The sequence below is a fragment of the Homo sapiens genome, chromosome 3, assembly GCF_000001405.40.
Source record: "Homo sapiens chromosome 3, GRCh38.p14 Primary Assembly".
NCBI classification, from domain to species: domain Eukaryota; kingdom Metazoa; phylum Chordata; class Mammalia; order Primates; family Hominidae; genus Homo; species Homo sapiens.
This window is the reverse complement of record NC_000003.12, coordinates 48,086,250-48,112,258: the sequence shown is the minus strand read 5'-3', so window position 1 is coordinate 48,112,258 and position 26,009 is coordinate 48,086,250. Positions and strand designations below refer to the sequence as shown.

General features: G+C 47.0%; 1 protein-coding gene and 1 pseudogene across 151 annotated transcripts in view, besides 6 other annotated features; both read left to right on the top strand.

The window, feature by feature from the left end:
• Window positions 4,874-5,074: a silencer, noted in NCBI's record as "peak4638 fragment used in MPRA reporter construct". NCBI's record gives its function as "represses an SCP1 promoter by STARR-seq MPRAs in K562 erythroleukemia cells {active_cell/tissue: K562}" and the evidence as "EXISTENCE:reporter gene assay evidence [ECO:0000049][PMID:32103011]".
• On the top strand, window positions 17,158-17,458 carry RN7SL664P (RNA, 7SL, cytoplasmic 664, pseudogene; annotated as a pseudogene).
• Window positions 22,744-22,793: an enhancer, noted in NCBI's record as "active region_19822". NCBI's record gives its function as "activates an Ori minimal core promoter by ATAC-STARR-seq in GM12878 lymphoblastoid cells {active_cell/tissue: GM12878}" and the evidence as "EXISTENCE:reporter gene assay evidence [ECO:0000049][PMID:35858748]".
• Window positions 22,854-22,923: an enhancer, noted in NCBI's record as "active region_19821". NCBI's record gives its function as "activates an Ori minimal core promoter by ATAC-STARR-seq in GM12878 lymphoblastoid cells {active_cell/tissue: GM12878}" and the evidence as "EXISTENCE:reporter gene assay evidence [ECO:0000049][PMID:35858748]".
• Window positions 23,144-23,713: a silencer, noted in NCBI's record as "silent region_14322". NCBI's record gives its function as "represses an Ori minimal core promoter by ATAC-STARR-seq in GM12878 lymphoblastoid cells {active_cell/tissue: GM12878}" and the evidence as "EXISTENCE:reporter gene assay evidence [ECO:0000049][PMID:35858748]".
• Window positions 23,411-26,009, top strand: part of MAP4 (microtubule associated protein 4) — a 238,154-nt gene continuing 235,555 nt past the window's right edge. For all 151 annotated transcript variants that reach the window (NM_001384862.1, NM_001384845.1, NM_001384867.1 and 148 more), the window contains exon 1: window positions 23,411-23,486. The gene's annotated coding sequence lies outside the window, so the exon portion shown is untranslated. The remainder of the gene's footprint in view (window positions 23,487-26,009) is intronic.
• Window positions 24,354-24,473: a silencer, noted in NCBI's record as "silent region_14321". NCBI's record gives its function as "represses an Ori minimal core promoter by ATAC-STARR-seq in GM12878 lymphoblastoid cells {active_cell/tissue: GM12878}" and the evidence as "EXISTENCE:reporter gene assay evidence [ECO:0000049][PMID:35858748]".
• Window positions 24,564-24,613: a silencer, noted in NCBI's record as "silent region_14320". NCBI's record gives its function as "represses an Ori minimal core promoter by ATAC-STARR-seq in GM12878 lymphoblastoid cells {active_cell/tissue: GM12878}" and the evidence as "EXISTENCE:reporter gene assay evidence [ECO:0000049][PMID:35858748]".

Sequence of the window (26,009 nt, the reverse complement as noted above, 5' to 3'; positions counted from 1 at the left end):
GCCCAGGCTGGAGTGCAATGGTGCAATCTCGGCTCACCGCAACCTCCACCTCCTGGGTTCAAGCGATTCTCCTGCCTCAGCCTCCTGAGTACCTGGGATTACAGGCGCATGCCACTACGCCTGGCTAACTTTGTATTTTTAGTAGGGTTGGGGTTTCTCCATGTTGGTCAGGCTAGTCTCAAACTCCTGGCCTCAGGTGATCTGCCTGCTGAAGCCTCCCAAAGTGCTGGGATTACAGGCATGAGCCATCGTGCCCGACCTAATTTTTGTATTTTTATTAGAGACAGGGTTTCACCATGTCACCCAGGCTGGTGTTGAGGAAATCCTGACCTCAAGTGATTCTCCCGCCTCGGCCTCCCAAAGTGCTGGGATTACAGGCGTGAGTCACTGCACCCAGCCTAGTTTGCATTTCTTTATCCATTTGGTAAACCTACTCCCTGGGAGTTGGATCCATCTCTAAATTTTATTGGTAACTTTTACCTTTTGTAACTGATTGTAGCACAGCTGATACTTCGTACCATGGGGGACCACACGGCCACCCAGGAATCAAAAGTTCCTCACCTCCCACCCTTTATCCTTTTTCTTCCCAAACTACATGTTTCCATGAGCAGGGCTGGTGTAGTAAATCCCACTTCTGACACCAAACATGACATTATAGGTGGAGGAACAAAAAAAAACAACCAAGTGATTTTTCCTATTCTCTTACTCAGCAGTCAACAATACTTCTGTGACCAGTGTACGGGAGTTTTTCCCCCCACACCAAGCAAGTAGTCCTTCAGCTGTGGACACCAGCTATATGTCCTCCAATTCAGTTTAATTCTGGCACTATCTACCCAGAGATAGAGTCAGATCCCATATGTTGAAGGTTTAGTATCCTGAATAGCTGGGATTATAGGCATGCACCACCACGCCTGGCTATTTTTCATATTTTCAGTAGAGATGGGGTTTCACCATGTTGACCAGGCTGGTCTCGAACTCCTGACCTCAGGTGATCTACCCTCCTTGGCCTCCCAAAGTGTTGGGATTACAGGCGTGAGCCACTGCACCCAGCCTAATTTTTTTTGTATTTATTTTTTTTGTAGAGAGATGGTCTCGTCATGTTGCCCAGGCTGGTCTTGAATGTCTGGGCTCTAGTGATCTGCCCATCTCTGCCTCTCAAAGCGCTAGGATTACAGGTGTGAGCCACTGTGCCTGGCCTCATTTGGATTTTTAATGGAGACTTCATTACATAGGCATGGTTGATTAAATAATTAACCATTGGTGATCGACTTAACTGTCAGCCTCTCTCCTCTCCCAGGAGGTTGGGGAGTGGTGCTGAAAAGTTACAACCCTCTAATCTGCCTTGGTCTTCGCTGTTACTAGCCCCCATCCTGAAGCTACCTAGGGGCTGCCAGCCACCAGGCAACTTAATAGTGTACAAAAGATACCACTCTGAATTCCAATAATTTTAGGAGTTGTATGCCAGAAAAGTGGGATAAAGACCAAATACAGTTTTACTTAGCTTAACAAGAGGGATGTGTTCTAAGAAATGCATCACTAAGTGATTTCATCATTGTGCGAACACCATAGAGTGTACTTACACATACCTAGATGATACAGCCTACTAAATACCTAGAATACCCAGGGTACAGGATGTAGCCTGTTGCTCCTACACCACAAACCTGTACAGCGTGTTACTGCACTGAATACTATAGGCAATTGTAACACCTGGTAAATATTTATGTATCTAAACATATCTAAACATAGAAAAGGTACAGTAAAAATATAGTATTATAATCTTTTTTTTTTTTTGAGACTGAGTCTCGCTCTATTCCAGGCTGGAGTGCAGTGGCACAATCTCAGCTCACTGCAACCTCCACCTCCTGGGTTCAAGTAATTCTCGTGCCTCAGTTTTCCAAGTAGCTGGGATTATAGGCAGCTGCAGTCATGCCCAGCTAATTTTTGTATTTTTAGTAGAGACAGGGTTTCACCATCTTGGCCAGACTGGTCTCGAACTCCTGACCTCAAGCGATTCACCTGCCTTGGCCTCCCAAAGTGCTGGGATTATAGGCTTAAGCCACCGTGCCTGGCCAAAAATGCAGTATTATAATCTTATAGGGTAGGGCTAAGTGGCTCACACCTTGTAATCCCAGCACTTTAGGAGGTAGAGGTGGGAGAAGCACTTGAACCAGGGGTTCAAGACCAGCCTGGGCAACATAATGAGACACCCTCTCTAGGAAAAAAACCAATTATCTATCTATCTATTAATCTATCTGTATATCTTATGGGACCACTGTCATATATGCAGCTTGTTGACCAAAACGTTGCATGACTGTGTATATTTCACAGTATCATGTTTCCAGTTTGTGGCTATTAAGAATAAAGTTGTGGATGGGCGCAGTGGCTCACGCCTGGCTAATATGGTGAAACCCCGTCTGTACAAAAATACAAAAATTAGCATGGTGGCATGCTACTGTAATCCCAGCTACTCAGGAGGCTGAGGCAGGTGAATCGCTTAAACCGGGGAGGCAGAGGTTGCAGTCAGCCAAGATTGTGTACTTTAGCCTGGGTGACAGAGTGAGACTCCATCTCAAAAAAAAAAAAGAATAAAGTTGCTATAAGCATTGTTTTTCAAAATTTTATTTATTTTTTATTTATTTATTTTTTTTTTGAGACAGTCTTGCTCCGTCGCCCAGGCTGGAGTGCAGTGGCGCCATCTTGGCTCACTGCAACCTCTGCCTCTGCGTTCAAGTGATTCTCCTGCATTCAAGCAATTCTCCTGCCTCAACCTCCCGAGTAGCTGGGACTACAGGTGGCTGCCACCACACCTGGCTAATACTTTTGTATTTTTAGTAGAGATGGGTTTCACCACATTGGCCAGGCTGGTCTCAAACTCCTGATCTTGTGATCCACTCACCTCGGCCTCCCAAAGTGCTGGGATTACAGGCGTGAGCCACCGTGCCTGGCCTAAATTTTATTTTTTTTGAAACAGGGTCTTGCTCTGTCATCACCCAGGCTGGAGTGTAGTGGTGTGATCATAGCTTACTGCAGCCTCAAACTCCAGGACTCAAGTGATCCTCTTGATTCAATCTCTCGAGTAGCTGGGACTACAGGTGCCCAACTCTGTGCCAACTAATTTATTTACTATAAATTATTTATTTATTTGAGATGGAGTCTCACTATGTTGCCTAGTCTGGAGTGCAGGTGTGCCATCTTGGCTCACTGCAACCTCCACCTCCTGGGTTCAAGTGATTCTCCGGCTTTAGCCTCCTGAGTATCTGGGATTAAAGGCGCACACCACCATGCCAGGCTAATTTTTGTATTTTTAGTAGAGACGGGGTTTTCCCATGTTGGCCAGGCTGGTCTCGACTTCCTGACCTCAAGTGATCCACCCGCTTCAGCCTCCCAAAGTGCTGGGATTACAGGCATGAGCCACCGCGCCTGGCACTACTTATTTATTTATTTACTGAGATGGAGTCTTGCTGTGTCGCTAGCCTGGAGCGCAGTGGCGAGATCTCGGCCCACGTCAATCTCCACCTCCTGGGTTCAAGCGATTCTTGTGCCTCAGCCTCTGGATAGCTGGGATTATAGGCATGCGCCATTACGCCCAGCTAATTTTTTTATTTTTTGTAGAGATGGGGTTTCACCATGTTGGCCAGGATGGTCTCGAACTCCTGACCTCAAGTGATCCGCCCACCTCGGCCTGGGTGCTGAGATTACAGAGGTGAGCCACCGTGCCTGGCCACATGTGATGTTTTGATGTGTTCAAATAATGTGTAATAATCAAGTCAGGGTAATTGGTAAATTCATCACCTTAAACATTTATCTTTTCTTTATGCTGGGAACATTCCAATTATTCTGTACTTGGTATTTAAAAATATACAACAGGCCGGGCACGGTGGCTTATACCTGTAATCCCAGCACTTTGGGAGGCTAAGGTGGGCAGATCACCTGAGGTCCAGAGTTCGAGACCAGCCTGGCCAACACGGTGAAACCCTGTTTCTACTAAAAATACAAAATTAGCCGGGTGTGGTGGCATGCACCTGCAGTCCCAAGCTACTCGGGAGGCTGAAGCAGGAGAATCGCTTGAACCTGGGAGGCGGAGGTTGCGGTGAGCCGAGATCGTGCCATTGCACTCCATGCTGGTCAAGAAGAGTGAAACTCTGTCTCAACAACAACAACAACAACAAAAAATAAAATAAAAAATAAAAAATATACAATATACAATAGATTATTGTTTAATCACTACTGATACTACTATTTATTGAACACTAGGTCTTATTTCTTCTATCTACCTGTACTTTTGTACCCATCAATCATCCTGTCTTCATCTCCCCCTCTTGCCTACGCTTCCTAGCTTCTGGTAATTGCCAAACTACTATCTTAGTGAGATCCACTACTATGATCATTCTTAACAAATCTTTATGTGGATATATGTTTCTATTTCTCTTGGGTAAATACCTAGGAGTGGAATTAAATTTGTATTTTCCTTCCTCTGGATTGTGAACTTTTAGGGGCTGATTTATTTTGTCTCCAGCTCCAAGCACAATGGCTTACTGTATGATCGGTTCTGAGTAAACATTTGTTGAAATGAAACAAAATTAAAGCACAAAATAATTTCCCCATATTCTATATAATATGCATCTGTCATTAAGCACACTGTGGGCCTAGCAAAATATGAGAATTGTTTCCATCGATCTTCCCAATGAGCCTCTAAGGTAAGAATTATCCCATATTACTACTTAGGAAACAGAGGCCAAGAGAAGCTAGGTGAGCTGATGAGCTGAGGAAGATCACACAGCAGGTAACAGGAAGAGACAATGTGAAACTGAGCCTGTTTGTGAAGCCTCTGCATATTCCTCTCTGCTTCTTTGTTTTTCTGAAAGTCTCGGCTCCTTTAGCTGGAGTCCTTGGAGTAACTGGCCCAGGTCACTCTTTCTCTGCTTTCAAGGACTGGGCAAGGCAGGCTATCTCCTTCTCTTGCCTTACACAAGAATGTCTGCTTTCTAGTGGAACTCCAGATCTCACTTACCTCGAAAGATGTCAAAACTGTACCCCTTGAGAAGGGAGGAATGTAGTTTATATCAAAATGTTGAGTATCAAACAGGCAAATGTGGAGGGAAAGGTGGAATGGAAAGTCATCATCACTGTGCAACCATTACAGCAAAGACTGATTTAGAAAAGAATTATTGGGCTGGGCATGATGGCTCACCCCTGTCATCCCAGCACTTTGGGAAGCTGAGGCAGACGGATTGCTTGAGCTCACCAGTTTGAGACCAGTCTGGGCAACACGGCAAAACCCCATCTCTACAAAAAATACAAAAATTAGCCAGGTGTGGTGGTGCACACCTGTAGTCCCAACTACTCAGGAGGCAGAGGTGGGAGGATGGCTTGAGCCTGGGAAGCAGAGGATGCAGTGGGCTGAGATTGTGCCACTGCTCTACAGCCTAGGCGACAAAGTGAGAGCTTGTATCAAAAAAAAAAAAAAAAAAAAAAAGAATCATCAATGGGTGCTATCTGTATCTTGGAGATATTTTGATGAGGATCAGGATATAAGCCCGTCTTAGAGCGTCTCTCCAGTCTCTCCACAGATTGCTTGTTAGTTGCAAGGGAAAAAATGGTAGCAATACAGAGAAGTCAGAAAACGACTTGATAACCAAAATGAACATCCACCAGTGAGGGTCAGATGGACACACCACATGCCTCCCAAAATGAGAAGCCCTGAAAAGAACACAGCATCAATTGTGCAGTATTCTGGACTCGCACGCATAATTGAAACATAACTATGAGAAAAAAATCAGACACTCCAAATGAGACACATTCTCATTTTATTGATTGATTGATTGATTGAGGTGGAGTCTCGCTCTGTCACCTAGGCTGGAATGCAGTAGCGCAATCTCGGCTCACTGTAACCTCCACCTCCCAGGTTCAAGCAATTCTCCTGCCTCAGCCTCCCAAGTAGCTGGTATTACAGGCGCCCGCCACCAGGCCCAGCTAATTTTTTTTGTATTTTTAGTAGAGACAGGGTTTCACCACATTGGCCAGGCTGGTCTTGAACTCCTGACCTCAGGTGATCCACCTGCCTCGGCTTCCCAAAGTGCTAGGATTACAGGCATGAGGCACCCGCCTGGCTACCTTCTCATTTTTAAAAGGTGTAGCTATATTCTTTTTTTTTTTAATTATTTTTTTTTAGATGGAGTCTCGCTCTGTTGCCAGGCTGGAGTGCAGTGGCGTGATCTTGGCTCACTGCAACCACCGCCTCCCGGGTTCAAGCAGTTCTCCTGCCTCAGCCTCCCAAGTAGCTGGGACTACAGGCGTGTGCCACCATGCCCGGCTAATTTTTTGTATTTTTAGTAGAGACAGGGTTTCATTATATTAGCCAGGATGGTCTCCATCTCCTGACCTCATGATCCGCCTGCCTCGGCCTCCCAAAGTGCTGGGATTACAAGCGTGAGCCACCGCGCCCGGCCTAGGGGTAGCTATATTCTTAAAAAATATCAATGTCATAAAAGACACACACACACACACAGAGGCTGTGAAAACGGTCCATATTAACGGAAACTAAAGAGACATGACAACTGAATGTGGTATTTGGCTACTGCTCCGGAAGAGAAAAACAATGCTATAAGGGATATTACTGGGTCAGCTGACAAAATTGGAACATGGATGGGAGATTAAATAGAATTCTTGAATCAATGTTAAATTTACTGAGATTGAAATCTGTATTGTATAAGAAATATCCTTATTATTAGAAATACACACTGAAGTATTTAGGGGTAAAAAGTTATAATGCGTATGACCCACATTCAAATGGCTCAAAAAATATTATTTGTGTGTGGTATATGTATATAGCACATAATTAAGCAAATGGGCAAAGTGTTAAAAATAGGTGAATTGGCCGGGCACGGTGGCATATGCCTGTAATTCCAGCAATTTGGGAGGCTGAAGCGGGCAGATCACCTGACATCAGGAGTTCAAGACCAGCCTGGCCAACATGGTGAAACCCTGTTTCTAGTAAAATATAAAAATTAGCTGGGTGTGGTGACGTGCACCTGTAATCCCAGCTACTCTGGAGGCTGAGGCAAGAGAATTGCTTGAACACGGGAGGCAGAGGTTGCAGTGGGTGGAGATCGCGCCATTGCACTCCAGTTTGGGTGACAAGAGCAAAACTCCATCTCAAAAAAAAGGTGAATCCACACCATATTCAGTAAATGGCGCTGAGAAAATTGGCTAACCATATGCAGAAGAATGAAACTGGACCCCGATCTCTCACCATGTGGTGTTATACATTGGTTTTCCTCCACAGTTCCTAGTTCATAACTCCCATAGTCCTTGTTACAGCTTTTTTAAATAATATTAGGTGTGTTAAGCCTCAGGAAACAGAATCTCTCCCCTGTTCTTTCACCTGCTCCAAAGCAGGACTCTAATCTATTTCTACCTTTCTGACTGTGGGTCTTCAGATCCTCCCAGGAAAACTGGGCAAAGACATAAATAGACAGTTCTCAAAAGAAGACATACAAGCAGCCAAGAAACATATGAAAAAATGCTCCACATTACTATACCCTGGGGGAAGGAATGCTCATGCCATGAAGCCTCCATAAAACCCCGAGGGAGGCTGGGCACGGTGGTTCACGCCTGTAATCCCAGCACTTTGGGAGGCAGAGACGGGTGGATCACTTGAGGTGAGGAGTTCGAGACCAGCCTGGCCAACATGGTGAAACCCTATCTCTACTAAAAATACAAAAAAATTAGATGGGTGTGGTATCAGGCACCTGTAATCCCAGCTACTTGTGAGACTGAAGCAAGAGAATTGCTTGAACCTGGGAGGTGGAGGTTGCAATGAGCTGAGGTCGTGCCATTGCACTCCAGCCTGGGTGACAGAGTGAGACTGTCTTAAAACAAAAACAAAAACAAAAACAAACAAACAAAAAACCAAGAGGATAGGGTTTAGAGAGTGCTTCAGGATAGCTGAACACATGGAGGTTCCTAGAGGCTGGCACGCCCCGGGAGGGCATGGAAGCCCCACGTCCATTCCCCCACACCTCGCCCTATGCATCTCTTCATCTGCATCCTTTGTAATATCCTTTATAATCAACCAGTAAACCTAAGTAAGTGTTTCCGTGAGTTCTGTGAGACATTCCAGCAAATTAATTAAACGCAAAGGGGGTCATGGGGACCCCAACTTAAAGCTGGTCAGTCAGAAGTTCTGGAGGCTGGAACTTGTAGCTGGTGTGTGTTGGGGATAGTTTTGGGGACTGAGCCTTCCACCTGTGGGATCTGACACTATCTCCATGTAGATATAGTGTAAATAATCAACAGAGTAAACAGCCAAAGAAATAATCAACAGAGTAAACAGACAACCTGACAACCTATAGAATGGGATAAAATATTTGTAAATTAGGGCAGGCACGGTGGCTCACGCCTATAATCCCAGCACTTTGGTAGGCCAAGGAGGGCGGATCACGAGGTCAGGAGATCGAGACCATCCTGGCTAACATGGTGAAACCCTGTCTCTACTAAAACCACAAAAAATTAGCCAGGCGCGCTGGTGGGCGCCTGTGGTCCCAGTTACTCAGAAGACTGAGGCAGAAGAATGGCGTCAACCCAGGAGGCAGAGCTTGCAGCGAGCTGAGATCGCGCCACTGCACTCCAGCCTGGGCAACAGAGCGAGACTCCGTCTAAAAAAAAAAAAAAAACGCTGAGCGCAGTGGCTTGCGCCTGTAATCCCAGCACTTTGGGAGGCTGAGGCGGGCGGATCATGAGTCAGGAGATCGAGACCATCCTGGCTAATACAGTGAAACCCTGTCTCTACTAAAAATACAAAAAATCAGCCGGGTGTGGTGGTGGGCGCCTGCAGTCCCAGCTACTCAGGAGGCTGAGGCAGGAGAATGGCGTGAATCTGGGAGGCAGACCTTGCAGTGAGCCGAGATCCTGCCACTGTATTCCAGCCTGGGTGACAGAGCAAGACTCCGTCTCAAAAAAAAAAAATTATAAATTATGTCTCTGACAAAAGACTAACGTACAAAATCTACAAATAAATAACACAACAAGAAAAAAAAAACAAACAACTCCATGGCTGGGCACAGTGGCTCATGCCTGTAATCCCAGCACTTTGAGAGGCCAAGGTGGGAGGATTGCTTGAGCCCAGGAGTTCAAGACCAGCCTGGGCAACATAATGAGACCCCCCTCTCAATAAAAATAAAGCAAAAATAAATAAATAAAACCCACCAAACAACTCCATTAAAAACTGGGCAAAGACATGAACAGACACTTCTCAAAAGAAGACATACAAGCGGCCACAAACATAGGAAAAAATGTTCCACATCACTAATCATCATAGAAGTGCAAATTAAAACCACAATGAGATATTTTATACCAGTCAGAATGGCCATTATTAAAAAGTCAAAAAACAGACGTTGGTGTGGATGCAGAGAAAAGGGAACACTTGGCCTAGTGTGGTGGCTCACACCTATAATCCCAACACTTTGGGAGGCCAAGGTGGATAGATCGTCTGGGCCTAGCAGTTTGTGACCAGCCTGGGCAACATGGTGAAACCCCATCTCTACTAAAAATACAAAAAATTAGCTGGGCCGGTTGGCACATGCCTGTAGTCCCAGTTACTTGGGAGGCTTAGGTGGGAGGATCACCTGAGCTTGGGAAGTCGAGGCTGCAGTAAGCTTAGATTGCACCACTGCACTCCAGCCTAGGCAATGGGAGTGAGATCCTGTCTAAAAAACAAACAAACAAAGAAATAAACAAACAAAAAAAAAACCAAATGCCTTCTCATCTATAAGTGGAAACTAAACAAAGGGTACACATGGACGTAAAGATGAAAATAATAGACACTGGGGACTCTAAAACAGGGTAGGCTGAGAGGGGGGCAAGGGTTGAAAAATTACCTGTCAGGTACAACCTTCACTATTTGGGTAATGAGTACACTAGAAATCCAATCCCCACCATTATGCAATATACTCATGAAACCATCAAGCACATGTGCCCACTAATCTAATATAAAATAGGCTTGGGACAGTGGTTCATGCCTGTAATCCCAGCATTTTGGGAGTCTGAGGTGGGAGGATCGCTAGAGACCAGGAGTTAGAGACCAGGCTGGGCAACACGTCAAGACCTTGTCTTTACAAAAAATAAAAAAATTAGCCAGGTGTGGTGGCACATACCTGTGATCCTAGCTACTCAGGAGGATGAGGTGGGCGGATTGCTGGAGCCCAGGAGTTCGAGGCTATAGTCCACTAAGATTGTACTACTGCACTCCAGCTTGGATGACAGAGTGAAACTATCTCAAAATAAAATAAAATAAAATAGGTGACTCTTGGTAAAGTGTATGTGAGAGTCCTACATACTATTTTTATTTTTGCAAATTTTCAGTAAGTTTGAAAATTTTTTTTGTTTTTAATGGTGTTAATTTGTATTTTCTTCTTCTTTTTTTTTTTTTTTTTTTTTGAGACAGGATCTCACTCTGTCACTCAGGCTGGAGTGTAGTGGTACGGACGCGGCTCACTGCAGCCTTGACCTACTGGGCTCAAGGGATCCTCCTGCCTCAACCTCCTCTGTAGCTGGGACCACAGGCACATGCCACCATGCCTGGCTAATTTTTCTTTTTTTGGAGACAGGGTCTTGCTCTGTCACCCAGAGTGCAGTGGTGCAGCGGTAGGATCTTAGCTCACTGCAACCTCTGCCTCCTGGGTTCAAGCAATTCTCCTGCCTCAGCCTCCCAAGTAGCTGAGATCACAGGCACCTGACACTATGGCTGGCTAATTTTTGTATTTTTAGTATGGACAGGGTTTCACCATGTTGCCAGGCTGGTGTGAAACTCCTGACCTCAGGTGATCCACCTGCCTCAGCCTCTAAAAGTGCTGGTATAACAGACATGAGCCACCGCTCCTGGCCCTGGCTAATTTTAAAATTTTTATTGTAGAAATGAGGTCTCACTTTGCTGCCCAGGCTAGTCTCAAACTTTTGAGCTCAAGCCATCCTCCCATCTCAACCTCCCAAAGTGCTGGGATTACAAGCGTGACCCACTGTGCCTGGCAAAATTATGCCTAAGTGTTTAAAAAATGCTTCCCTGCAAAGTCCTCTGTCCACACTAATTGAGTCAGTGTGGACTGTGCCCACAGGAATTCCATGATTATGTGCAGCTCTTTCTTAAATACAAGTTAGTTTATCCAATCTGCCCATTGTTTCATTCCAAGCTAAGTGAGGAAGGGCCAAAGAGCTAAGGCAAGCATCTTTTAAAATAATCCTTTTATGTTCATCTCCTCTCAGAAAACCTTTTCTGAAGCAGGCTCTCACCAAAGGCTTACTGAATTGGCCATAGTTGGCTAATTCTGAGTGATCTATGGTGAGCTCTGAACAGAGAGAGCAATTATGATTATAGCCAGGAAGCAGATCCTGGAGAGAAAAGGGAAAGAGAAAAAACAAACAAAAAAATCAGTCAGGCACAGTGCTGGCTCATATCTGTAATCCTATCACTCTGGGAGGCAAAGGTGAATCACTTGAGCCCTTGAGCTCCCCAGGAGTTTAGACCAGTCTGGGCAACATGGTGAGAACCCTGTTCCTAAAAAATAAATAAATAAAGTTTAGCCAGGCGTAGTGGCACACGTCTATAGTCCCAACTACTCAGGAGGCTGAGGTGGGAGGATTGCTGGAGCCTGGGCCATCAAGGCTGCAGTGAGCCATGAACACACCACTGCACTTCAGCGTGGGCAACAGAGTGAGAACTTGTCTCAAAAAAAAAGGCCAGGCACGGTGGCTCACGCCTATCATCCCAGCACTTTGGGAGGCCGAGGCAGGCAGATCACGAGGTCAGGAGATCGAGACCATCCTGGCTAACATGGTGAAACTCTGTCTCTACTAAAAATACAAAAAAATTAGCCAGGCGTGGTGGCGGCCGCCTGTAGTCCTAGCCACTCGGGAGGCTGAGGCAGGAGAATGGTGTGAACCCGGGAGGCGGAGCTTGCAGTGAGCCAAGATGGTGCCACTGCACTCCAGCCTGGTTGACAGAGCGAGACTCCGCTTCAAAAAAAAAAAAAATTCAAGATGAGGTGGAAAGTGCACTGAGCAAGGAGTCAAAGGATGTGATCTCTAGTTCCAGATCTACCACTTACTGGTTGGGTAACTAGGTGTGTACTAGGAGAGGGGAAAATGTCTCCCCTCTATCTTTCTAGGTTCTTTGGCCAGGCTATGAATTAAATTCAAATAAGACAGATTAACAAGAGAAAAAGTATATTTAATTATGTATATACACACAGGAGTCCCACAAAACATAAGACCCTTAGAAGGGTCAGACTATTGAAGCTTATATAGCATCCTGAGCTACAGAAAGGAATACAGACCTGCCTGAGGGAGGGGTAGGTGGCAACAAGCCACAGGAGGGCAAGGGGAGGAAACATATATGAACCAAGGGCATTCTGCTATGCAGATAAAAAGTCTCTCAGGTAATAAAGGTTATCTCAGGGCTGGGGGTGGTGGCTTGTGCCTGTAATCCCAGCACTTTTGGAGGCTGAGGTGGGCAGATTACTTGAGGTCAGGAGTTCAAGACCAGCCTGGCCAACATGGTGAAACCCCATCTCTACTAAAAATACAAAAAATTAGCTGGGTGTGGTGGCACGAGCCTGTAATCTCAACTATTCGGAAGGCTGAGGCATGAGAATCGCTTGAACCTGGGAGGTGAAGGTTGCAGTGAGCTGAGATTGTGCAACTGCCCTCCAGCCTGGGAAACTGAGTGAGACTCTGTCTCAAAATAAAATAAAATAAAATAAAATAAAATAAAAGATAAGATAAAATGTTATCTCAGAGCAGTTATCTTCCTAATACAGATAATCTACTAATGTAGATTTCCTTTATAGATGTGAAGTTCTTTTATAAAAGGACAAATTTTCAGAGCTACTCCTGTGTCTGCAGTTTCTCAGAATAATCAGCTCAAATATGCCAAAGAGGTACATTTTGGGGTGGCATGCTGTGATCTCCTATAGTCATATTTTGGGGTGGGGTGCCCTGAGCCCCATCAGTGATCTTGGGTACACAACTTCACATCCCTAAATCTGTTTCCTCAACTTCAAAATGTGGATAGTAATACTAACTCAGATTATCTCAGAGTCATAGAAAGCCTAACCTCTCACACCAGAGAGCAAAGCGCTTCACAACAAGCAAAGTGCTATCACAGTGAAAGAAGAAAATTAGAAGCTATAATTCAGTCTTAGAATGCCAGGGCTTGAAGGGCCCTTTGACAGTCTGCCACCCTCTTATTTCATAAATGATGCATTTGAAGCCCCAAAAGGGGAAATCACATAGCATGTTTAGGGGTTAGGGGCAGAGGTGGGCATGTTACTCCAGTATTTTTAGAGTAGAAACAACCCCTTCCCTCCTTTGTGCTCCGCCTAGGTGTAGGTATATAAAATTAACTAAAGGAAGAGGGCCCAGGCATGGTGGCTCATGCCTGTAATCCCAGCACTTTGGGAGGCCGAGGCAGGTGGATCACCTGAGGTCAGGAGTTTGAGACCAGCCTGGTCAACATGGTGAAACCCCATCTCTCAGAAAAAGAAAAAAAAAATTAACCAAAGGAAGAGAAAATAAGGATCTAGCTAGAGGGACTTTGTGTTCAGGGAATGCCCCAAAGGTGTTACATTCACTCAAAGGAGACGGGCCCTTGTAATTAGTCCTGAGGTCACAGGAACAAGGGAACACTGGGTGAACCTTGAAAGAAGTAGTCATAGAGGAAAGAAGTGCCATATTACACACTATACAGCATGAACGATGAATGAGACCAAAGAAAGTAAGAGGTGAAAGAGACCATCACCATCTTGTTCTACTTCCCCTGGTAGAGATGAGGAACCTGAGGTCCAGAGATGGGAAATGGCTTGCCCAAGGCCACATAGCTTGTTCCTGGCAGAGCTGGGACTGTAATGGGGTTTCTCAACTCGTAGTCCAGGACTTTTACTCCATATATCAGTTGGGATTGCATTTAGCTGCAAATGACAGATACTAATGGTGGCTTACATCAATAGGGGTTTATTGGCCAACGATGGCTTTAAGAGATAGGAGTTTTGGCCAGGCGTGGTGGCTCACGTCTGTAATCCCAGCACTTTGGGAGGCTGAGGCAGGCAGATCATCTGAGGTCAGGAGTTAGAGACCAGCCTGACCAACATGGAGAAACGTCGTCTCTCCTAAAAATACAAAATTAGCTGGGTGTGGTGGTGCATGCCTGTAATCCCAGCTACTCGGGAGGCTGAGGCAGGAGAATGGCTTGAACCTGGGAGGCAGAGGTTTCAGTGAGCTGCGTCTCAAAAAAAAAAAAAGATAGGGGTTCATTTTGATCACTTTACAGGAAATCAAAGATTAAGGTAGCTAGCCAGGTGTGGGGTATGGTGGCTCACACCTGTATACCAGCTACTCAAGAGGCTGAGGTAGGAGGATCTCTGAGCCCAGGAGTTTGAGACCATCTTGGGCAACATAGCGAGACCCCATTTCTTTTGTTTTTTTTTTGTTTTTTGTTTTTATGAGATGGAGTCTCGCTCTGCCGCCCAGGCTGGAGTGCAGTGGCGTGATCTTGGGTCAATGCAAACTCCGCCTCCTGGGTTCAAGTGATTCTCCTGCCTCAGCCTCCTGAGTAGCTGGGATTACAGGCACCTGCCACTGTGCTCAGCTAATTTTTGTATTTTTAGTAGAGATGGGGTTTCACCATCTTGGCCAGGCTGGGCGAGACCCCATTTCTTTTTTCTTTTGGAGATGGAGTTTCACTCTTGCTGCCCAGGATGGAGTGCAGTGGCACCATCTTGGCTCATCGCAACCGCTGTCTCCCAGGTTCAAGCGATTCTCCTGCCTCAGCCTCCTGAGTAGCTGGGATTACAGGCACCTGCCACCATGTCCGGCTAATTTTTCTATTTTTAGTAGAGATGGGGTTTCACCATGTTGGCCAGGCTGGTCTCAAACTCCTGACCTCAGGTGATCCACCCACCTCGGCCTCCCAAAGTGCTGGGATTACAGGCGTGAGCCACGGCACCTGGCCCTATTTTTTTTTTTAAATGAAGTTTCACTCTGTTGCCAGGCTGGAGTGCAGTTGCGCGATCTTGGCTCACTGCAGCCTCCTGGGTTGAAGCGATTCTCCTGCCTCAGCCTCCAGAATAGCTGGGACTGCAGGCCCACACCACCACATCCAGCTAATTTTTGTGTTTTTAGTAGAGACGGGGTTTCACCATGTTGGCCAGGCTGGTCTCAAACTCCTGACCTCAGGTGATCCACCCGCCTCGGCCTCCCAAAGTGCTTAGATTATAGGCATGAGCCACTGCGTCCAGTGCCAGCCTACATTAATTTAAAGATGAAAGAAGGGGTAAGTGCAACAAGCACCCAGATGAGAGTAAGAAAATGAGTTCAAGCCTGGATTCTGCCATTTTTCTGTGGGTCCTCAACATATCTCAATTACTACACTTGAAAAAGGATTGGGCTAAAATAATCCAAAAGAACCTCTGAAAGACCCTTCTGGTTCTTAAAATGCTATGACTCTATTCTATTCAAATTCTAATCCATGTAATTGTACTTCCCTCTTCCCATGGAATCCTAACATAAACATCATAAATTATGATAAAATTGGTATGCAAAATTGTGTTTATCTGACAAGCTTTGGTACCAAGAAATTGCAATAAGATTCCCACCCTGAGAGCATCAAGATATTGCTCAATATTTTCTTTTCTCTCTTTTTTTTAAATAGGTTTATTTATTTATTTATTTATTTGAGACAGAGTCTCACTCTGTCACCCAGGCTGGAGTGCAGTGGCACAATCTTGGCTCACTGCAACCTCCGCCTCCATGGGTTCAAGCGATCCTTCCCTCTCAGCCTCCCGAGTAGCTGGGACTACAGGTGTGCACTACCAGGCCCAGCTAATTTTGTATTTTTTGTAGAGATGAGGTTTTACCATGTCACCCAAGCTGGTCTCGAACTCCTGAGGTCAAGCGATCCACCCACCTCGGCCTCCCAAAGTTTTGGGATTACAAGTGTGAGCCACAGCATCCCGACCCTATATTTTCTTCTAAAAGTTGTAAAGTTTTATAATATTTTTCTATAGAAAGTCTTACAACCTATTGTTAGTTTTATTACTCAGTACCACATCAGTTTTTATTGTTTCGCTCTGTGAAGATTTTTGTTGTTGCTGTTGCTTGCCTTACCTTAAAATGTATTTATTTCCTTTCTGTAAGAGATAAAATAAAAATAAGAATAAAAATTTTAAAAAAGTATTTATTGATGCTGGGCATGGTGACTCACACTTGTAATCCCAGCACTTTGGGAGGCTGAAGCAGGAGAATCATTTGAGGCCAGGAGTTCAAGACCAGCCTGGATAACACAGGGAGACCCCGTCTCTCCAAAAGTATAAAGTAAAACATTAGCCAGGCACAATGGCATGTGCCTGTAGTCCCAGCCTACTCTCTCAGGCTGAGGTGGGAGAACTGCTTGACCCCAGGAGGTTGAGGTTGCTGTGAGGTAAGATTGTTCCACTGCAGGCCAGGTGTGGTGGCTCGCGCCTGTAATCCCAGCACTTCGGGAGGCCGAGGCAAGTGGATCACCTGAGGTCAGGAGTTTGAGACCAGCCTGACCAACATGGAGAAACACTGTCTCCACCAAAAATAAAAAATTAGCCGGGCGTGGTGGTACATGCCTGTAATCCCGGCTACTCGGGAGGCTGTGGCAAGAGAATCACTTGAACCAGGGAGGTGGAGGTTGCAGTGAGCTGAGATCACACCATCGTACTCCAGCCTGGGCAAGAAGAGCGAAAATCTGTCTCAAAAAAAAAATTGTTCCACTGCAGTACTGTCTGGGCAACAGAGTGAGACCCTGTCTCAAAAAAAAAACAAAGTGTGGCCAGGCGTGGTTGCTCACGCCTGTAATCCCAGCACTTTGGGAGGCTGAGATGGGCAGATCACAAGGTCAAAAGATCAAGACCATCCTGTCAACATGGCGAAACCCTGTCTCTACTAAAAATACAAAAATTAGCTGGGCCTGGTGGCGCATGCCTGTAGTCCCAGCTACTCGGGAGGCTGAGGCAGGAGAATCACCTGGACCCGGGAAGCAGAGGTTGCAGTGAGCTGAGATCGCACCACTGCACTCCAGCCTGGCGACAGAACAAGACTCCATCTCAAAAATAAAAAAAATAAAAAATAAATAAAGTGCTAGGTGGGGTGGTGCGCACGCCTGTAGTACCAGCTACTTGGGAGGCTGTGGCAGGAAGATCACTTAAGTCCAGGAGTTCTGGGATGTAGTGCACTACGTGGATTAGGTGTCCATCCACACTAGGTTCAGCATCAATATGGTTAATTCCTGGGAGCAGGGGTCCACCAGGTTGCCTAAGGAGGGGTGAACCAGCCCAGGTCAGAAATGGAGCAGGTCAAAACTCCCGTGCTGATCAGTAGTGGGGTCGCACCTGTGAATAGCCACTGCACTCCAGCCTGGGCAACATAGCGAGAACCTGTCTCTAAAAAAAAAAAAAAAAATTTCATTGATCTTTTTCTGACTATAAAAAGAAATAAATGATTTATAGTATAAAATTTGGAAAAGCATAAAGGAGTAAATGATAACTATGTAATCTTACCACCCAAGGCTAGCCATTTTTTTTTTTTTTTGGTGCATTCTTCCAATCCCAGTTTATTTATCCATTCACTTATTAAAGGAGATCTCAGTTGCTTCTAGGTTTTGGCAATTATGAGTAAAGCTACTATAAACATTCGTGAGGCTGGGTGCAGTGGCTCACACCTGTAATCCCAGCAGTTTGGGAAGCCGAGGGGGGCGGATCACCTGAGGTCAGGAGTTCAAGACCAGCCTGGCCAACATGGTGAAACCCCGTCTCTACTAAAAATATAAAAATCAGCCCGGTGTGGTTGCGCATGCCTATAATCCCAGCCACTTGGGAGGCTGAGGCAGGAGAATCGCTTGAACCTGGGAGGCGGAGTCTGTAGTGGGCCAAGATGGCACCACTGCACTCCAGCCTGGACAAAAAGAGCGAGACTCTGTCTCAAAAAAAAAAAAAAAAAATTGTGTGCAGGTTTTTGTGTAGACATAATTTTCTTTCTTTCTTTTTTTAGACTGAGTTTCGCTCTTGTTGCCCAGGCTGGAGTACAATGGCATGATCTTGGCTCACTGCAACCTCTGCCTCCTGGGTTCAAGCGATTCTCCTGCCTCAGCCTCCTGAGCCACTGGGATTACAGGTACCCGCCACCATGCCCAGCTAATTTTTGTTATTTTTAGCAGAGACAGGGTTTTGCCATGTTGGCCAGGCTGCTCTTGAACTCCTGACCTCAGGTGATCCACCTGCCTCGGCCTCCCAAAATGCTGGGACTACAAGCGTGAGCCACCGTGCCCTGCCTGTGTAGACATAAATTTTTGGCTCCTCTGAGTAAATACCAAGGAGGGCAATTGCTGGGTCATATGAGAGTACGTTTAGTTTTGTAAGAAGCTGCTGAACTGTCTTCCAAAGTTCTGTACCTTTCACATTCCCAGCAGCAATGCATGCGAGCTTCTATTGTTTCACATTCTTACTAGCACTTGGTGTTGTCAGTGTTCTGGCTTTTTTTTGTGAGATGGAGTCTTGCTCTGTCGCCCAGGCTGGAGTGCAGTGGCGCGATCTCGGCTCACTGTAAGCTCCGCCTCCTGGGTTCACACTATTCTCCTGCCTCAGCCTCCTGAGTAGCTGGGACTACAGGCGCCCGCCACCATGCCCGGCTAATTTTTTGTAATTTTAGTAGAGACGGGGTTTCACTGTGTTAGCCAAGATGGTCTCGATCTCCTGACCTCGTGATCCGCCTGCCTTGGCCCCCCAAAGTGCTGGGATTACAGGCGTAAGCCACCGCACCTGGCCAGTGTTCTGGCTTTTGCCCATTCTATTTAGTAGGTGTGTTGTGGTATCTCATTTTTGTAGGGTTTTTCTTTTCTATCTCATTTTCTTACTGATTATTGGTATATATGCTGTTATGCCTTTTTGTATATTAACTTTGTATCCAGTAACCTTGCTGAACTCTTTTTATTTTTGAGACGGAGTTTCAATCTTGTCGCCCAGCCTGTAGCGTAATGGCACGATGTTGGCTCACTGCAACCTCCGCCTCCCAGGTTCAAGTGATTTTCCTGCCTCAGCCTCCTGAGTAGCTGGGATTACAGGCTTAAGCCACCACACCTGGCTAATTTTTGTATTTTTAGTAGAGATGGGGTTTTACCATGTTGGTCAGGCTGGTCTCGAACCCCTGACCTCGACCTCCCAAAGTGCTGGGATTACAGGTATGAGCCACCATGCCTGGCCATGAACTCTTTTATTAGTCTTTCAAATTTTCGATGTGGAAAATCACATCTTTTTTTTTCTTTTTTTTGAGATGGGGTCTCACTCCATCACCCAGGCTGGAGTGCAGTGGTATGACCATGGTTCACTGTAGTCTCAACCTCCCCAGGCTCAGGTGATCCTCCCACCACAGCCTCCCACGTAGCTGGCACTATAGGTGCCCACCACCATCCCAGCTAATTTTTTTTTTTTTTTTGTATTTTTTGTAGAGACAGGGTTTCACTATGTTGCCCAGGCTGGTCTCAAACTTCTGAACTCAAGCAATCCTCCCACCTTGGCCTCCCAAAGTGCTGGGATTACAGGCGTGTGCCACTATGCCTGGTAGAAAATCATATTAATCATACATTAGGATAGGCAGAGGAAACAATATGAGGAGGGCCTTGACAAGAGAAAGTTCAAGAAACAGAGAAGGCAGATGATACTGGGCATAGTGAGAAAAAAGGCAGATGATGAGGCAAGACAGAGGCAGCATCATTGCACGAGGTCTTGAAATACATGTTTAGGATTCTGATGCAATGAAAAGCCATTGAAGGGGTTTAGGTTAAAACTGGAGGAAAGCCTCTAAGATAAGCTATTGGATTCTGCCAATGTTTGTGTCCTGGCCTACATTTTCATCAAAATTTGGATGAATAGACATAAAGCATGCTTTTAAAGGATAACTCAAATATAATCCTGAGATGGCTTATTGTGAACTTGTAAAGTCTCAAGAATACATCCTTAGACATGAGACTGAGTGCTTGCTAAGATCCTTTCCAACTTTGAGATGTTGAGGTTCTATGCTTTTCTTGTTTTTCTTTCTTTTTTATTACTGCTGCTTGTGGAGCAGGGCAATCCCATAGGCAGTATGCCCAGAATAGGTGGTTCTATGCTTTTCATCCTGGGCACCCTGGAACTGGAGGGAATGTTCTTTTCCACTGCAAGTGGGGAAATAGAATGAACCTGTACTTTGAGATGCAATCTGTTAGGGCAGATATATATATATATATATATTAGTTTTTAGTAGAGACGGGGTTTTACCTTGTTAGCCAGGATGGTCTTGATCTCCTGACCTCGTGATCTGCCCACCTTGGCCTCCCAAAGTGCTGGGATTACAGGCATGAGCCACCTCGCCTGGCCAGGCAGATCCATATTTATACAAATAACTATCACATATATGGTAAGTGTTGTAATAGGCATACAAGGGATGCAGGAGGATATTATGAATGGAAGGGGATGGTACAGAAGGTTGTGATATTTGGACTGAAGCAGGAGCAAGGGGAAGGCTTGAAAGAAACTATGGCAGGATACAGGAAAAAGAAAAAGGACTGAACCAGAACAGCATGTGTCAGTGGAGCTGTTTCTGAGGCAGGAGGAAAATCTGGTAGGTATGAGGGGAAAAGGAAGGGAATAACTGAGAATCACTCCTGGGTCTCTAGCTCTACACATAACATGGTGACTGTCTTAACTTAAAGAAGGCTGGGGTCCGGGTGCGGTGGCTCATGCCTGTAATCCCAGCACTTTGGGAGGCAGAGGTAGGAGGATAACTTGAGGGAATGAGTTCGAGACCAGCCTGGGCAACACAGTGAGAACCCATCTCTACAAAAAATTTAAAAAATTAGCCGAGTGTGGTGGCAGAAGCCTAAGGTCCCAGCTACTTGGGAGGCTGAGGTGGGAGGATCACTTGAGCCTGGGAGGTAGAGGCTGCAGCAAGCCATGACCGTACCACTGCACTCCAGTCTGGGCAACAGAGTGAGACCCTCCCACTGGGCTTAAGCGATCCTCCCACCTTGGCCTCCAAAATGCTGGGATTACAGCTGTGAGCCACTGCCTGGCCCTGGGGAAAAATAAATATTAAAGAAATTTCGGACCCTTCAGCCAGGCACGGTGGCTCATCCCTGTAATCCCAGCACTTTGGGAGGCTGAGGCGGGTGAATCACGAAGTCAGGAGTTCAAGACCAGCCTGGCCAAGATGGTGAAACCCTGTCTCTACTAAAAAAACAAAAATTAGCCAGGCACGGTGGCAGGCGCCTGCAATCCCAGCTACTTCGGAGGCTGAGGCAGAGAACTGCTCGAACCTGGGAGGCAGAGGTTGCAGTGAACTTAGATCGTGCCACTGCACTCCAGCCTGGGCGACAAAGGGAGACTCCGTCTCAAAAAAAAAAAACAAACAAAAAACAAAACACTTAGGGGCAGGCATGGTAGCTCACGCCTGTAAATCCTAGCACTTTGGGAAGCCGAGGCGGGCGGATTGCCTGAGTTCAGGAATTCGAGAACAGCCTGGGCAACACGGTGACACGTCTCTACTAAAATACAAAAAAAATTAGCTGGGCGTGGAAGCGTGCGCCTGTAGTCCCAGCTACTCGGGAAGCTGAGGCAGGAGAATTGCTTGAACCGGGGAGGCAGAGGTTGCAGTGAGCTGAGATTGTTCCACTGCACTCCACTCTGGGCGACAGAGCAAGACTCCATCTCAAAAAAACAAAAAACAAAAAACAAAAACACTTCGGACCCCAATTCACTATTCCAAAAGGAAAAAATTAAGTTGAAAGCTGAGTCATGCACAAACTGCCTTTCATTCCTAAGCAGACATACTTGACATAATACACAATTGACTATTCCCCTACCTGCTCCTTTTCTCTTGTTCCCTCCCTATTTTCCCTCCAGCCCACTTTTCCCCTTTAAATACTGAATTCCTCAAATTCATCTTTGGAGAAAGGCAGAGACCACAGACTGTTTCTGTGATTCTGTGTTTTTTCCTTTCAGGAATGTCCTTCACCTTGGCAAAATAAATTTCTAAATCAATTGAGACCTGTCTCAGATACTTCTTGGTTTACAGAAGGGATGGAAGATTCCAATACTTTTGAGTTTTCCTAGCCATCTAACTACAAAGGAGCTCAAAGCCAATTCTATTCCTGAAGTCTGGGACAGGAATATGCTGGCTACTCCAGGCAGCAGGAAGAATGATCAAAGTAACTTTAAAGCTCCCACCTGTGTGTTTTCCTACAACAGTAAGTTAAGGATTCTACAAAATCTGGGGCTTTGGAATGAAGTAATGTTAATTTCAACAGAAAAGGAAACCTATTTTTTTTATTTGAGACAGGGTCTCACTCTGTTGCCCAGGCTGGAGTGCAGTGGTGCGATCTCAGCTCACTGCAACCTCCGCCTCCCGGGTTCAAGCAATTCTCCTGCCTCACGTTCCGAAGTAACTGGGATTACAGGCACTTGCCACCACGCCCGGCTAATTTTTGTATTTTTAGTAGAGACGAAGTTTCACCATGTTGGTCAGGGTGGTCTCCAACTCCGGACCTCAAGTGCCTTCCAGAGTGCTGGGATTACAGGCGTGAGCCACCGCGCCCGGCCTCAATATTTCTTAGTTAACCAAATATACCCCAACTGTCATCAATTTTGTTATAATTAATTATCCCACTTGTAACCATTTAAAAATTATAGATGAGTTTTTTTTTTTTTTTCGGTACTAAGTCTTGGAAATTTGGTGTGTATTGTACACTTACAGCACATCTCAACTTGGGCCAGCCACGTTTCAGAGCTCACCAGCCACATGCGGCTCACGGGAGCGGAGCCCCGCCGAGGACCTGTGGCGTCCTCCCGCTCCTCTAAGGGTTCCTTCCAGAGCCCAGATGGCCCGCGACCTAGGCCCCGCCCCGCGCCCCTCCCAAGTTACATCACAGAGCCCACAGGCCCCACCCGCTGGTGGCCCGGTCCGCGTGTGCGCCGACTCTCGCACTCTCCTCGCTCCGGGCGCCCAGACTCTGAGAGAGAGCGACGGCCATCATAGAACAGCGAAGGCAGTCGATCGGCCTGCGGTCCGCTTCGGCATTCGCAGGCCGCAGGCGGGAGGCTAGAGCCCCCAGGCGCACCTCGCCCCAACCGCCCGCGGCTCGGGCAGCTCTGCAGAGACGTCGTGGCGGCAGGGCCAGCACCCATTGGTCCGCCACAGCCCTCCGCCCTCCCCCTCGCCACGCTTATTGGCCGGAGCGGCGGCGCTCGCCGGGTAGGCGGTGGCGGCGTCCCTCCCTTGCGCCGGCCCTCAAGAGGCGACGAGGAAGCGGCCGCCTCCCTGCGCCCCGCCCCTCCGGCTAGCTCGCTGGCTCCCGGCTCCTCCCGACGTCTCCTACCTCCTCACGGCTCTTCCCGGCGCTCTCCTGGCTCCCTTCTGCCCCAGCTCCGTCTCGGCGGCGGCGGGTAGGTGCAGCCGCAGGCGGGGTCCGATTGGAGGGGCGGCCTCCTCACTGTCCCGGGGCTGCCCGAGCCTTGCCCTGCGGCAGCTGGGTACCCCACGGGGCCCGCCCGAGGCGTGGAAGGGCGGTGGCCGCCGGCCTGCGAGACGCGGGGGCGTCCGAGGGAGGGGGCCAGGCGGGGGGCTGGCGGCTTTGACCTTCGGAGTCTTTGAGGCGCGATCTAGGGGGGTCTTTGGAGTGAGGGGGGCTGAGAGGTCCAGCTTTTGAGGGTCGGGGCGGTGGGGCCGAGCGACATGCCTTGGGCTCTGGATGGGGCTGAGCCGCGGAGCGAGGGTCGGCCGCAGTCTGGGGCCCTGGGTGGGGTTCGGAGGTGTAGGAGAACTCAGGGGTCGTTTTCTGAGGCTTTGTGGGGGTCAGTTGATGTGAGGCTGAGGTGAGCCTTAGTATGTCCAGTCAGGGATTATGGGTGGGGCTGAGGGGTGGTCTGGAGAACCGGGCCCTAGGCGGGGCTCTTCCCCCTTGCAAAGGCCCCGACACTGTGTGGGGACTAAAGCGTGTGTCTGGCAGTGGGAGTGCGAAAGGGTCACATTAGGGTGGGGGTGGGGAGGGTACAGGGACTAGGAGAGGCAGTTGGAAACATTACCCAGAACAGAGATTGTGATTTAGCACATGGAACAAGTTCTCCGCCGGTGTGAGTTAGATCCCTTTGGTGAAATTGTCCTGTGGAGGAGTTGTGAGGGTTTTGCTCACTTCCAGGAACGGGTAAATTAAATGCATTTGCTGCTTTGGGGAAGAGGCAGTGATTGATTACCTTTAGGTTTGTGCTTTAGGACCCAAGCTCGGATGAAATACGTGTTCCTCGCGAAGGTTAGTGTTACCCAGCTTTCTACTGGAAACCCCCTTTTCTCCTTTGCCTTCTCTGGTCCTGTTACAGTATTGCTCCCCAGGGCCTCTCGATTCTCTCTCCCTGGTTGCATAGCATTGCAGTGTTTCTTGCAGTGTGTGTGTGTGTGTGTGTGTGTGTGTGTGTGCGCGTGCGTGTGTGTGCGCGTGCGTGTGTATGTGTGTGTGCGCGCGCGCGCGTCTCCCGCCCATTTCCCTGCTGCTGTGCTTTTGGCAACTGCCTCTGCTCTTTCCCAGGGATGGTTGTGGCATTGCATCAGGGGATATTTGTGCTTGTAATTTGCTCACTCAGCCCAGGAGGAGGGTGAATAGTATGCTGTAGAGATGGGGGGCGGGGGCAGGGTGCCGTCAGCTTGGCTGGGTAGACAGAGAAATGGGTGTGGTGAGGGAATACAGCTGCTCTAGGCCTTTGGGGTAACACTGCCCAGTCATCAGCCCAAAGAGATTCAAAGAGCACCACCAGCAGCTATTTTTATAAATCAATCCTGAATCCAAGCTGAGCACATGGATTTAGAGTGAACAGTTGTCATGCTCTATTACAAGCTGGGTGTTTGGTAGACAACATTAAAGTTGCTAAGCAGGAGACTCCCATCTGTACTGTGCAGTGTGTACTTTACTTGCAACTTTTAAACTTTGCTTTTCTCAACTCCAAAGATTGGGACATCTCTCTTCAGGCTGTGTCTTTTAAATTAACGTAGTTTGCTGATCCGTACTACTACTTTTCAAATGAAATGTTTTCACCTCAGTTACACACTTCCTTTCAAATTTAGCTTCAAAATAATAAAGCTGTCACTTTTTGAGCACTTGCCATCTCCCAGGCACTAGCTATGTTTGTTAACAGATGAGGAAATTGAGACTGATGGGAAGAAGAGGTCACACAGATAGTTAAGTGGCAAAAATGGTATCCAACCAAACCAAGGTCTCTCCAACCCCCACATAGTAGTTCAGAAACTTCAGAATTTTGGTTTACATTGGGATGATTCAAGTGCTTGAGAATTTATTCATGCAAAGTAAACAAACTCACCAGAGACTGATAAACCAGATACCAGTTAATGCATGTTGGAAGTATTAAGTGCCATGTGCACAATTGGATTTAATTGTCCACTGACCAGGACACCTCCATTGTTCTGGGCTGCCTAATCAGTAATAAAAAGGTAGTTGATTATGGAATTGGAAAGGCACTAGATATTCTTAGTGGGTATTTTTTAAATTTAAATTTTATTTATTTATTTATTTTTGAGACAGGGTCTTGCTCTGTCGCCCAGGCTGGACAGTGGCAGGATCTCGGCTCACTGCAGACTCTACCTCCGGAGTTCAAGCAGTTCTCCTGCCACAGCCTCCGGAGTAGCTGGGATTATAGGCATGTGCCACCACACTCGGCTGATTTTTGTATTTTTAGTAGAGACGGGGTTTCGCCACGTTGGACAGACTGGTCTCAAACTCCTGACCTCAAGTGATCCGCCTGCTTTGGCCTCCCAAAGTGCCCTGGGATTACAGGTGCAAGCCACCATGCCCGGCCATTTATTTTTATTTTATTCTATTTTATTTTTTAAGATGGAGTCTCGCTGTGTCATCCAGGCTGGAGTGCAGTGGCATGATCTTGGCTCACTGCAACCTCTGCCTC